Source organism: Homo sapiens, chromosome 8 (genome assembly GCF_000001405.40).
Source record: "Homo sapiens chromosome 8, GRCh38.p14 Primary Assembly".
Taxonomy (NCBI): Eukaryota; Metazoa; Chordata; class Mammalia; order Primates; family Hominidae; genus Homo; species Homo sapiens.
In genome coordinates, this window is record NC_000008.11 from 101249610 (window position 1) to 101263670 (window position 14061).

The window sequence follows — 14061 nt, forward strand, 5'->3', positions numbered from 1 at the left end:
TCATGAGGCCATCTAGGTCATCAAATTTATAAAGAACCACTAATGCATTAAAAGGCAGAGGGCACGGGTAATAGAGTGCACACTAAACTACATGCTGCTACCTGGCTGCAAAGAAACATTTGCACTTCACAGAATGGCATCTGCCCAGATGTCTCATTCTCCCTGCTCTCCTCACTCCAATTATGGCCTCCTTATTTAGAGAGCCAACTCTTTGTTTTTATGAAACGTGCATTTTTCTCACCCATGGTTGAATATCTCTTCCTTACATCTTCATAGCAAATATTTAATTCCGGTGTGATATCTCCTGTGCCCCAGCTGATTTGGGAGTCTCCAGGTATCTGTCAATGACTGCTCAGAAAGTGCAGCAAATACTTTTTTTTGAGACAGGCTCTCACTCTGTCACCCAGGCTGGAGTGCAGTGAAATGATCTCAGCTCACTGCAACCTCCGCCTCCTGGGTTCAAGTGATTCTCCCACCTCAGCCTCCGGAGTAGCTAGGACTACAGGTTTGCACCACCACACCCAGCTAATTTTTATATTTTTAGTAGTGAAAAGGTGTCACCATGTTGGCCAGGCTCATCTTGTACTCCAGACCTCAAGTGATCACCTGCCTCGGCCTCCCAAAATGCTAGGATTACAGGCAGGAGCCCCCATGCCCGGCCGCAAGTACTTTTTAATATTAGCCTGAGTAAAACACAATGTCAAGGTGAGTTTGCCCTGTGCAAAGCCTTTTAGACAGCAAGACATTAAAGTGGTGACATCAGGATGTCTAGACTCCAGAGTAAGAGGGACCAGGTGTGTGTGATAGCTCAACTATCTGCTGTTTTCTCAAATGAACGTTGCAGCATCTGTCTTTCCATCTTTAAAGTAGGAACAGAAATTCTACTTATCTCATACAGTTGTTATTAGGATTCAATGAGCTAATGCATATAAAGTTCTTAGCACGGTTTTGGGCATATGGGAAACAAAATTTACCAGCGTAGTCATACACCTTGCTTCTGGGCTTTTGAAGAAGCCAGACAACAACTCAAACTGGGTAGTCTGAGGAGGGTTTACTAAACTGTTTACCGGTGTTTACAAAGCTGTGGGCAGGGTTTTAGGTTTAAAGGTTGAGGACAAGGGATACTACAGTGCTGTAAGCTACTGACAGTATAAACACTAAAGGGGTGAGGGGAGCGAGCGATGCACAGAACCCAGAAAGGACAGAGAGGGGAGCTGTGTGGAGCAGCCACTCCCACAGGAGCTGTTGTCTTCTTGGAAGAATGCAGCCAGCTCACAGTGACCTGCAGCAGGGAGTCTCATACCCCAGGGAATAAGTCCCGCTCCTCCACTCTCCTCCTCCCTCCCTCCCTCCCTCAATTTCTGCCAGTACCTCCTTCCCGCTGAACCCAAGAAGCAGGAAATCTATTTTTGCAGTCCACGTGGGTCAACGTTCCCGGGGTCAGAGTAGAACAGAAGAGGCCAGCAGGAACTACCCAGCAGATCTAGTATTGAAATCTCACCTGTTCCAACTAACTAAAGAGACAGCTTGTCACTCTAAGCCAGAGAGAAGCCTGCACTGAGACTAGATTATGTGTAAGTGTAGCATCAGAAACAAGGGAGTTCCCTGGGGGCTCACCTCAATAAGTCAATAAGAACCACTTTTAATTGCATATAAGGAGTACTTCTAAACCAAATGAGAGTCTGAAAACAATGTTTCCTCTTAAATAGGTTATGCATTCTCTGGCTGGACACAGTGGCTCATGCCTGTAATCCCAGCACTTTGAGAAGGTGAGGCGAGTGGATCACTTGAGGTCAGGAGTTCGAGACCATCCTGGCCAACATTGCGAAACCCCGTCTCTACTAAAAATACAAAAATTAGCCAGGCATGGTAGCACATGCCTGTAATCCCAGCTACTAGGGAGGCTGAGGCAGGAGGATTGCTTGAACCCAGGAGGCAAAGGTTGCAGTGAGCTGAGATCCTGCCACTGCACTGCAGCCTCAAACTTTTGGGTTCAAGTGATTGTCCCACCTCAGCCTCCAGAGTAGTTGCGACCACAGGCATGTGCCACCACATACAGCTGGTTTTTTTTTTTTTTTAACATTTGTGGGCATGAAGTCTCACTATGTTGCCCAGGCTGGTCTTGGACTCCTGACCTAAAGCAATCCTCCAACCTCGGCCTCCCAAAGTGCTGGGATTACAGGCCTGAGAGACTGCGCCTGACTGCTTTCTCGTGTATATGATTTATTCAGGAAACACAAAGATAATACAGTGGCAAAAATTTATCCAGTGTTCTTCTGAATTCATCATAATTCTTGACACAGATGAATCCCAATCAATAAAAAATCTGTTCTGATACATTTCAAAGATTCAATCAAATGATTCTGGGATATTCAAATTCGCAATTTGTATTAGTTTTCTAAGGCTATCATACCAAAGTACCAAAAACAGAGTGACTTAAACAACAGAAATTTATTCTCTCATGGTCTTGGAGGCCAAAAGTCCAAGATTAAGATGTCATTAGAGCCATAATCTCTCTGAAAGTGCCGGGAAAAGTCTGTTCCAGATCTTTCTCCTAGCTTCTGGCAGCTCCTTGGCTTGTGGCAATATAACTCCAATCTTCACCTAGTGTTCTCTCTCTCTCTGTGTCTGTCTCAGTGCCCACATTTCCTTTTTTAAAATAGGGACACCAGTTATATTTGGTTAGAACCCACCCTAATGACCTCATTTTAGCTTGATTACCTCTGTAAAGACCCTCCTCTCTCCAAATAAGAGGGTTAAAACTCCAACATATCTTTTTTGGGGCAAGTGGGAAGAGGGGGCACAATTCGACCTAGAACAGGATTATTTGGGGCAGTGTTTCCTCCTTAGGGCAGATTGTGAGAGCCAGCAGAGGGCTCACCTCTCTGTGTCCTGCTTTCATTAACCTACAAAAGCACTACCTGCGTGGAACACGAGGCTCTAGCTGGGGAGAGCTTACTGAAACATTGGGCCCCAAGTGAGATGGCCCCATCATATCTAAGAAGCAAAGAATAAAGGCAAAATTAATATAAATCAGCCAGTTTAAAGGAAATCCAGGGTTATGCTTGAGAAAACAAAGCACCAGGCATTACAGCGGCAGCAGGAAGCAGAGCTCCTTAGGGACTTGCTGAAAGGATATCCCTCCTGTGTACTCTGGGAGGCAGATTTCCCCCAGAGCAGCCTTCAAGCACCCTCTGTGGACTGCCTGGGAGTCCACAACACATCTCAGGCCAAGCCACACACTGCCTAAGCAGCCTAGACTGTTTCAGCTCCAAATCAACTTGAACATGGTTAGCTTGCTACCTCCTCACTAGTCTCCTGCCCCTGTAATCACTGGTCAAAGATACAAGGCAACTCATCTTCTCTCCCTCTCCCTTGCTCTCCCTTTTTTCATGTCCCCCCTCCTCCCCAGTGTCTCTACCCTTTCTTCTATGCTTATCCCCTTACTGTTAAGCACCCCATTGAATTTCTCATAGGCTTTTGTCCTTGGCCCACCAACTTTTTTCTTTGTACATTTCAAGGACAACCTTATTTGGTGTCATGGTTTCAGCCACCACCTATATCCAACTTCTCCAAGCTGGTGTCAGGCAGAGCCTTGCATTTTTTTTCTGTTTAACAACTTGCCACATAAATGTTTTGTCTCCTCCACGACACCATAAGTTTCATGAAACGATCAATCATATATGTCTTGTTTGTCATTGTATTTCCTGGGTGTCGCATGTCTTGTTTGTCATTGTATATCCTGGGTGTCTCAGAATGATTAGTATGTGATTGTCACTCAATAAATATTTGCTGAACTGTACAGGACAGAATTGCTTCAAAATATTTATCCTGAGCATCCCTTCTGAGTGTCAGACGCCTACTTACACCTGCCACCTCTTGCTCCATAGGTACTCATGAGTCCAAAACTGACCAACTCTCAGTCTGGTCTGCCTATGTCTGGATTGCCCTAGTCTCCCACACTGAAAGCCTGAGAATCCATTCTTTCCTCCTCTCTCCCCCACCCTCCATATCCAATCAGTCCTTCCAAATACATCTCCTAAATCTTTCTCAAATTCTTCCTCTCTCTCCAGTCCATTCCTTCACTAGAATATAAGCTACAAGGGCAGGGATGTTAGCCTGTTTTGTTCACTGCCATATTCCCAGCGCCTAGAATAGAGCCTGTCACATAACAGGTGCTCAAAAATGTTTGTTGAATGAATGAATCCTACCAACACTCTAGTTCTATTTATATCAGTCATCTGTGCTGCATAACAAACCTCTCCCAAACTTAATGACTTAAAACAGCAGAAATTTGTTATTTCTGATGGGTGGTTCTTGGGCTGGCTTTGCCTGGGCTCACTTACATGATTGCAGTCAGAGAGCTGCCTTGGAATGGCTGGCTGAGCGGGGTGCCTCAGTTCTCCTTGGTGCCGCCTCTTACCATGACTGACTTCTTCACAGTGAGGTGGTCTCAGAGTTCCAAGAGGCAGAATGTGAAAGGTGTACAGTCTCTTAAAGCCTTGTCTTGGAAATCACATAGAGTACCATCTGCTGTGATAAAATCATGTCACAAGGCTAGGGAAGATTCAAAGGTGTGAAGAAATAGACTCAACCTCTTGAAAGAAGGAGTGGCAATGCCACATATGGCTTAAATGTACACGGATGTTAGGGCTCAGAAAATGGTACCCCAAAATGAAGGCCTCATCAGGAGCCTCAGAAGCAAAAGTTTCTCGCTGATCATCTCCTGAACTTCTGTCTCTGGCCCCTCATTTTTCCCAAAGCTACCGATACAAACTAGAAGCCCTCTCCCTCAAGATGGGTCTTAGAAACCAGAACCCCTTTTCCCCAAAGCCAGCCATAAAGACTCAGTCTATCACTTTAACCCCAGCCCTTCACCTTTCTGTGTAAAAACTGGCCATAAAAAAACTATCTGACCTACCTTGTTTGATTGCAGATCATAAGACTCCCATTCCAGAGAGGGCCCTGCCCCATACCTAGTAGGAAGGAATGCTGCACAGAGAGGCCAAGAAGAATCTAGACAGACCTTGCTGGGCTTCCCCACTCAGTCTATTAGCATTAGGTCATACCCTTTCTGTCCAATCACGTTTCTACACAGCTGTCCATACTTTGTTGAACCTAAGCATAAAAATGGAAAGTGTCCTCTGCATCTTTGGGTCTTCATTCTGAAGGTTTCTGTGTCAAGGAAAACTATGATCAAATAAATGTGTATGCCTTTTCTCCTATTCTTCTTTTGTCAGTGATTTTCAGTGAATCTTCAGAGAGTAATGGGGAAGTTTTCCCTTGGCATCTATATGGCCCTCCAAAGTTTGTATGTTGAAGCCTAATCACCAAGGTGATTGTATTGCAAGGTGGGACTTCTGGGAGGTAATTGTGTCATGAGGGCTTGTTTCTCATGGATGGGATTAGCACCCTTAAAATGGGCTTGAGGGAGTAGGTACCTTCCTCTTTCCTTCCCACTCTTCTGCCATGTGAGAGCTAAGCATTTATCCCTTTTGTCCTTTCTGCCCCTTGTATTAGGTCATTGTTTGATTGCCGTAAAGGAATACCTGAGACTGGGTTATTTATAAAGAAAAGAAGTTTAATTCACTCATGGTTCAGCAGGCTGTTCAGGAAGCATAGAGGCATCTGCTCAGCTTCTGAGGAAGCCTTGGGAAACTTACAATTATGGCAGAAGGCAAAGGGGGTGCAGGCATTTCACATGGTGAAAGCAGGAGCAAGAGAGAGATGGGAAAGGTGCCACACACCTTTAAACAACCAGATCTCATGAGAACTCACTCACTATAATGAGGACAGTACCAAGAGGATGGCAGTAAACATCATGAGAAATCCACCCCCATGATTCAATCACCTCCCACCAGGCCCCACCTCCAACATTGGGGATTGCATTTCAACATGAGATTTGGGCAGGGACACAGTTCCAAACCACATCACCCCTTTTGCCATGTGAAGATGCAGCAAGAAGACCCTCACCAGACTCCATGCCAGTGCCTTGACCTAGGGCTTCCCAACCTCCAGAACTGTGAGAAATAAATTTTTGTTTTTATAAATTACCCAGTCTTAGGTATTTTGTTCTATCAAACAAATAGACTAATACACATGGCAAAAGAATGTAAACAGGCAGACATGGTTCATTGGGAGCCATTATGATAACAACTAACCACACCATCTCTCTCCCAGGTCACTGCAGCAGCCTCAAACTGTGGAGGCTGTGCATGTTTCAAAGCCATTTCCCACATTGCTGGCAGGATGATCTTCCTGAAGCACAAATCTGACCTACTGCCATTTGCCAAAACAATATCCTTTGAATAGCAAATGATTAGCTATAATTGTAGCTCCATCTACCTTTCACTGACAGTATTTTGTTGCCATGCAGAAGGAAGTAAATAGATACATGCATCCACAGGTTAGCTCAGGTGATGACCTACAAGGATGCTTGACTCATCCATGGATGGCACAGAGACACCCTCCACAGAGTGTGGCGTCAGCAGCCTGCAATTGACTTCCAACTTGGCCACCTCCTCGTTTTGACTGTGAACTGAAATCTTACAAAAGAAGGGATGGCAAAGGAAAAACTAAACAGAAGGAAGATTTAGAAACAAAAGACAGGTGGTTTGGAAAAAGTGAAACTTATAAAAAGAGTAGTCAAGCAGAGGAATAAAACCAAGATCTTTGCTTCCTTCAGTTCTCTTTTGGTAACTAAGACTTAAAATATGAAGTCTTGAAAATTAGGGGGAATGTGCATATTCTTCATCTTTCTATTATTTTTAAATTTCAATATATGGATTTTTAAATGTTTAAACAATATGTCAGGAATTACAAATGCTTTTGCTAACAAGCTTTGTAGAGCTAAGCTGCCATTATTAGCATCTTGGGGAAGTACTTCCAGTGTGCCCACCATATGTTCCTCTGGAGTGTTTTCTGGTTTTGTTTCTGCACAAGTTGTGTTCTCAGAGCATCCTGCAAGAGATGATATAGAGAATCCCAAGACGATAGAAATGTAGAGATAGGCTAAGATGCCCCAAAATAAATCTTTGCCTGTTCTGTTTGCCCAGTACATGGTGAAAGGCTGTGAGATTGAGATGGAATGGTAGACAGAGCTCAGTTAATAGGAAAAGTTCTGGAGTATGCTGGCAGAAGTGTAATTCAGCTCAAAATGCACCTCCCTCTCCCTTCATTCACGGGCCCTACACCAGTGAAGCAGCTTGAGGTTCTTATCATTCTGACTGGAAGCTCATAGAATAACAGAGGGAAGGGTGTTAGCAGCTTAAATAAAGAATTAGCTGTAGATCCAAGACAGTAGGAAACCAGAAAATAAGAAGTATACTGGGACATCAGGATGGGCACCTGGAGCCGGGCGTCATATGTTTAAAGCCTAGTTGCTTCCTTACCTTGCCTGAACAGGTGGTGGGAGCAAGAATGCTCATGTGTTGGTTACCAAGACAAATAACCCTGAGGCTTCAGGAGTCTGGGAGTTTGAAACTTGAAGATACTAGAAGACAACAGGCATCCAAGCTCAAAATAATGAAACTGGAGTGGAAGCCTCAGACACACCTACCAGCTGACACTGCCTTCACCCTTGCTTGCAATTTGACCCTGAAAATTCAGGGAAATGGGAGTGACAGTTCACCCCTACAGGACAAGAATAGTTTTCTTTATTTTTTAAATAATATTTTTATTTATTTTATTTTTTTAGATGGAGTTTTGCTCTTGTCACCCAGGCTGGAGTGCAATAGTGCGACTCGGCTCCCTGCAACCTCTGCCTCCCAGGTTCAAGTGATTCTCCTGCTTCAGCCTCCCGAGTAGCTGGGATTACAGGCGCCTGCCACCATGCCCAGCTAATTTTTGTATTTTTAGTAGAGACAGGGTTTCACCACATTGGCCAGGCTGGTCTGAAACTCCTGACCTCAGGTGATCCACCCGCCTCAGCCTCCCAAAGTGCTGGGATTATAGGCGTGAGCCACTGCACCCAGCCAAGAATAGTTTCCTAGTGTAACCAACGACTCTTACTCTTTCTGGTTGGGTACAATGAACTCCCTGAGTGGTATCCTAAGATCCACCACCTGAGGCCCCTCATGCCTCCATTAGCAGGAAGACCAAATTTTGTCCCACCAGCTCATCTTTCATGATATTCCAGAGCCCCAGAGGGCTTCCCCCGTACAATGGGTCAGTCCTGTCACTGTTCCCTCTTAGGAAGATACCAGAAGTGTGGACATTCCATCAAAGAGACCTCTTCTCTGCTGTTGTTACCACTGCATGCTGTAACTAGAAGTCAAGCATCTCTGCGCAGTCCTGCTTACTTAAGAAAAACCCCATGTCTTCTTTAGCAACTTCAAGATTCATGTATCAGTGATTATTGGGAAGAACTGACCTCCTCCAGCTTTCCTGGAGCTGCAGCTCCTTCCTCTGTGTTTCTATAGTATGCTTTTAAGCCACACCTCTTTGGCAGCACTTTCCACATAGTCTTGTTCTTTACATTTATCTGCCCATCTTTGTGAGCGCTCAGAACATGTATAGTGCCTAGTTGGTAGAGGGGGTAAATATGGGTTGAATAAATGAATGACTGAATGCTACCTTAAGAAATATCTAGAAACCTTGCTTATATTCATACAGACCTGGAAGTGAGTAAAGGAGAAATCTGGGGAGTAAAAGCAGGCTAAAATCTTCAAGTTGCATAAAAAGCGTCAAAAGATGCTATTTAAGGCCTGGCGCAGTGGCTCACACCTGTAATCCCAGCACTTTGGGAGGCCGAGGCAGGCAGATCACTAGGTCAGGAGATCAAGACCATCCTGGCTAACATAGTGAAACCCTGTCTCTACTAAAAATACAAAAAAAAAAAAAAAAAAAAAAAAAGCCAGTCGCGGTGGCAGACGCCTGTAGTCCCAGTCTTAGCTACTGAGGAGGCTGAGGCAGGAGAATGGCCTGAACCTGGGAGGTGAAGCTTGCAGTGAACGGAGATCATGCACTCCAGCCTGGGTGACAGAGCGAGACTCCATCTCCAAAAAAAAAAAAAAAAGGTGCAATTTAATTATTACTTTGATAATTAGAAAGATATATCAGTATTTTTTAAATTAAAGATAAGTGGTTTCTTCAATCCTCTGCAGTTATTGGAAAAGGTGGCTACCATGACTATCATTTTACAAAGCAGAACCTGAGGCTCAGGTTGGTTGAGTGACTTTCCTAAGGTAACCACAGCTAGTAAGCAGTAAAGGTAGGTTCTGCACTGAGGACTACCTGCCTCCACATCTGTTTCCACTAGACCACATTGCTTCCTTCTGGCCTCTCACATAAAGTTATTGATTCATTGGCTGATTCATTCATTCATTTGCTAAGCTCCTAGCTTGGACTAGACACTGCTCTAGGCATTGGGGATAGAAAGATACATAAAGGTCATACTCTGGCAGCACAGAGGAGTAATTTATCCTGCCTGGTGGGTCAGAGAAGGGTTTACAGAACAGGGGCATCTGAGCTAGGTCTACCTCTCTTGATTAAGTCAATTATTCCCTCTTGTGGCTTAAGCTACATCCGATATGATACTGTTACTTGCAACAAGAAGAGTCCTCATACATACTGTGTGGATGTACCCATATTTATAAACTAATCTCATATTGTTGGACATTTAGGTTGTTTCCAAAATTTCAATATTATGAACAAGATTATGATGAACTTTTACATATGCATCTTTGTGTACATGTCCTGCAGGGTCAAAAGTTATGTCTTTGATTTCTGTTACCCTATTGCCTTCCTAAAAGATTTCTCAATTACTATTCCACCATCATTGTAACAGAATGCCAAGTTTTCCCAAGCAGCCTGACTTCTAGTTGCTGAGCTCTGTATTAGGATCAAGATAATTTGCATGAAACTACTTTACAAATAGTTAACTTTTTCTTCATTACAAAGCACAGCCTTTTCCTTAAGAATGGAACAAGTATCATTAAGTGCTTCCTATGTGCCGGGCATTGCACTAAGAACTATATATACATCATGCTTATTAAACTTCACAAGCCTTTGAGGAATGGACTGTTATAATCCCCATTTTACAGAAGAGAAAACTGAGGCTCATAGAATTGAACTAATTTATCCAAGGTCATATGCAGTCAGCATTTGAACTCAGGTCAGATTTCAGATCCTCACTTTTATCATTACTGGTTTAAGTTGAAATGTGGAAGTATGAAATAGTGGGGGTGTCAGATATGTACCTAGTTAACAATACTAGCAGGCAAAGTTAGATAATAGACGCTCTAAATATATAAGTATGGAAGGTAAATGTGTGCCCTTTCTAGAATGACTCAGTCCCAGCTCCATGATAGCAGCTGAAGGTGAAGAAATAAGTAACTGAGAAACAATGATATCCCAATATGTTACCCCTCAATTTCCTTTCTCCCCTCTATGCATATCCTAACTCATCACAAGCGATCCTCACTAAAGAAAGGACTAGAGATGGGGTTCATCACCTCATCCCCATCAAAATTCCTTGGTTTATAAAAACTGAAAAGATATTAAGATTCCTACTTGATTCTTAATAGTAGTTAATTATTACCTAGTTGTTTGCCCAGTAAAGACCAATTTTTCTCCTTTTTGCCCCTTGTTTTTTAAATCCAAATACCAAAAAACCCCTCATTTAATTATAAATATAATCCATTTTTATGCTACTAAAAATTCAAAATGTGAGTCATACACACCAGAGTCAAATAGTTTTCTCTCTTTCTAGCATCTATTAGGGTACTTTGAAAACTGCTCATAAGTCTTCCTCAACTACCAGCTGGTTTCCTGTCTCCTCCCAGACTGGGGCTCAGGTGACCAAGTCCCAAGGCTGTCAGTCAACACAAGAACAGCCTGACTGGGCTGTGGGCCTGTGGCTCTGAACACACCTGCCACACTCTCATGTCACTCCTGTGGGACAAAGCAGGATGTGCTGGTGGGACACTGCCCAGGTGATGTGAGACCTTGTAGCTTCCTGGTGAAGGGATCTGGGAACCATGCCAGTTTAGTGGATTTATGACTGTGGGTCAGCTTCTAAACCTCAGTTTCCTCATCTACAAAATGGTGATAAATGACATTCTCAAAACCATTGTGGGGACTTAATAATGAGATAATGATATTAAACTCTCAGCCCTGCACCTGGCACATACAGTGTTCAAACATGGCCATTGTGAGTGGCTTTACACTGGGAACCAGGAAGGACAATACATCCATCGTGACCCTGTCTTGGATGCTGGAACTGCTATGTCTTCTCTCTGTTCCCTTGGCTCTGCATGCCTCTGTCCTCCAGGAGATGAGCATAAAAACGGGGGAGCACACAGCACCTCTATTAGCAGCCTCAGTGGCATTGCTGGAGAGTCAACCACTGTCTCCTAGGTACATTCTGTCCTCAGTTGCATATTTTCAACCATTACCCCTGTTTCTGCTCATACCATATTTCCTTACAGCAAATTCTTAGTCCTCATCTCACTTGGACTCCTGCATGGTGATGGCATGAGCACTAGAGCTGCAGGATTTAAGAAACGGAGGGAAAATGATGGATTCACATTCACTTGGACATAACAGGCATCTACTTTCATCAAAGCAGAAGGTAAAAGAACATTCCTAGTCTGTTTCAAATTATTTAAAGTGACGTTCTTGTAATAGTAGAATTAATAAAATATTTGCTTATAATTTACTGATCATAAACTATGCTCTTAAATTGGTATCTCTCAAAGCATACTCCATGGAATACCTGCTCTGAAGAATGTTAACACAACGTTAAAAATCATTTCTTGCCCATAAAATGTGAGAAAAGGCTCTCCAAGCCTTGGAAATGAAAGCGTGCACTGTGAATCTCTAAAGGGAGTTACGGCATGCAATATTTTCCAAACTGGCCTTCAAGCTCTGTTTGTGAGAAACATCTCCCAGGACTCGTGTTCTTCTGAATACACTTTGGAGAATGGTTGTGAACTCAAGGAAGGTGAAACCACATTTATTGGTTGTTCTATAAAATCAAACTTGGAGGTGAGGCTGAGAATGACATCCTTGGAAACAGTCAGAGAATCTCTCTTGTTGCCATCAGGAATTGAAGACAGGGGAGAACAGTGGTCAGGGATGGGCCAGTCTGTCCAAAGGGGACAGCAGGTTTTGGAGACAAGGTGGCACATATGTAGAGAGCTCTTCTGCCCTGGCTGCTTGTCATGGATAGGAATATAATGTGTGCCCAAAAGAGACTATGGCATAGTGAGGCAGGGAGGGTGGTCTAGCACATTCCTCTCTTTAGCTTTTTGGAAATAGGGTAGAACTGTGCAAAGAAATTAAGCCAGTGTCAGTAAGTTATGAAATAAAAGACCTGATTCTGTATTTCTGCAGTAGTATACAAAAATCACAGAATTTTTAGCCACATGGAAAACAAAAACATAGAAAACCCTGAGGACTTCAGTTTGCCTCACTTAGGCTTATCACCGCTATATGCAAGTAACTTGTGCCTCTCCCTGCAGCCCCCTCAGCATTTCAGTCTTGCTCTCATTTATGTCCAGCCCATGTACTTGACTGTGGACTTTTTCTTCCCACCTCTGTGCCTCATCCCAACCTCAGATAGGATATATAATTTTGTTCAGGACTATTTCACTTCCCCGTGGCACCGAAGAAAATGACATTTTAGGCCGGGCGCGGTGTCTCATGTCTGTAATCTCAGCTACTCAGGAGGCTGAAGCAGGAGAATCGCTTGAATCCGGGAGGCGGAGGTTGCAGTGAGCCGAGATCGCGCCATTGCACTCCACCTTGAGCAAAAAGAGTGAAACTTCCGTCTAAAAAAAAAAAAAAAAGACATTTTAAAACAAAGCCTGGCTTGAACTAAAATTGACTTTATCAGATCATATCACTGAAAGGTTTAAGAGACGTTTGGTTTCGGGCACAGCTTGAGAAGGCCTCAAACAAGGTCATCGGGATCAGGGTTCTGGTCCTCATCTTTTTTTATTGTTGTTCAAGTCTCGGTCTGTTGTGCAGGCTGGAGTGCAGTGGTGCAATCTCGGCTCACTGCAACCTCCGCCTTCCAGTTCAAGTGGTTCTCCTGCCTCAGCCTCCGAAGTAGCTGGGATTACAGGTGTGTGCCACCACGCCCAGCTAATTTTTGTATTTTTAATAGAGACAGGGTTTCACCACGTTTGCCAGGCTGGTCTCGAACTCCTGACCTCGTGATCTGCCCGCCTCAGTCTCCCAGAGTGCTGGGATTACAGACGTGAGCCACTGCGCCTGGTCTCTAGTCTCAACTTTCGGCTCCACTTCCGGCCTGATGGCTTCATGCTCAGTGCCACAGCATGGCAAGATGGCTGCCGCTGCTCCTCAGTCTTCAACTCCAAGTCCAGCAGATAGAGTGGTTTCTTTCCCAGAAATCCCTGCAGTGGTCAAGTTGAATCTCATTGGCTCTGATTGGGTCCAATCACTGGGTATAGGAAATGGGTTGTTCTGATTGGTACCAGCCTAGGTCCGGGTCACATGCTCCAGCACTCCAACCAGAGCACAAGGATAAGAAGAAAATCTATGCTATTTAGTTACCAGAAAAAGATGAATGGCTGCTGGGGAGCATAAGGGAGAGATCTCCACTATACTAGACTCGATACTAGGTCATTTAGTATAGAGGATAAAGGCTCAAATGCTGCAGCTAGATTACCTGTGTTTAAATCCTGGCTATGGCCTCGTTATCTGAGTGACAAGTTCTTTGTTTGTAGAGACAGGGACTTGCTATGTTGCCCAGGCTGCACTTGAACTTCTGGACTCAAGCAATCCTACTGCTTTGGCCTCCCAAAATAGTGGGATTACAGTCATGAGCCCCCATGCCTGGCCTGAGGGATAAGTTCTATTAACCTCATGGCGCCTCAGTTTTCTTCCCTGACAAATGGAAATGATGAAACTGTTTACCCCTTAGGATTGTTGTGAGGCTTCACTGACTCCCTGTACATACACCACTTAGAAACTGTCAGGCAGTTACAATGTCATACCTTGATGTTAGCTGTTACCCAGGAGATGACTTGACTCCAAGACTTCCCTCTGAAGTATTTGCACTTGCCTTTTCTGGGTATTTCCCCCTTCTTTTTA

General features: G+C 44.0%; 2 long non-coding RNA genes across 3 annotated transcripts in view; one reads left to right on the plus strand and one right to left on the minus strand.

Moving 5' to 3' along the window:
* The window catches only part of LOC107984005 (uncharacterized), a 79776-nt gene that overhangs the window by 35851 nt on the left and 29864 nt on the right, over window positions 1–14061 (plus strand). For both annotated transcript variants that reach the window (XR_928468.3, XR_928469.2), the window contains exon 2: window positions 11430–11572. This is a non-coding gene — a long non-coding RNA (uncharacterized LOC107984005). The remainder of the gene's footprint in view (window positions 1–11429; window positions 11573–14061) is intronic.
* Window positions 11941–13329, minus strand: LINC02844 (long intergenic non-protein coding RNA 2844). The gene is made up of 2 exons (NR_183452.1): window positions 13158–13329; window positions 11941–12773 (listed from the first exon to the last, which is right to left on the minus strand). It is a non-coding gene; the product is annotated as a long intergenic non-protein coding RNA 2844 (long non-coding RNA).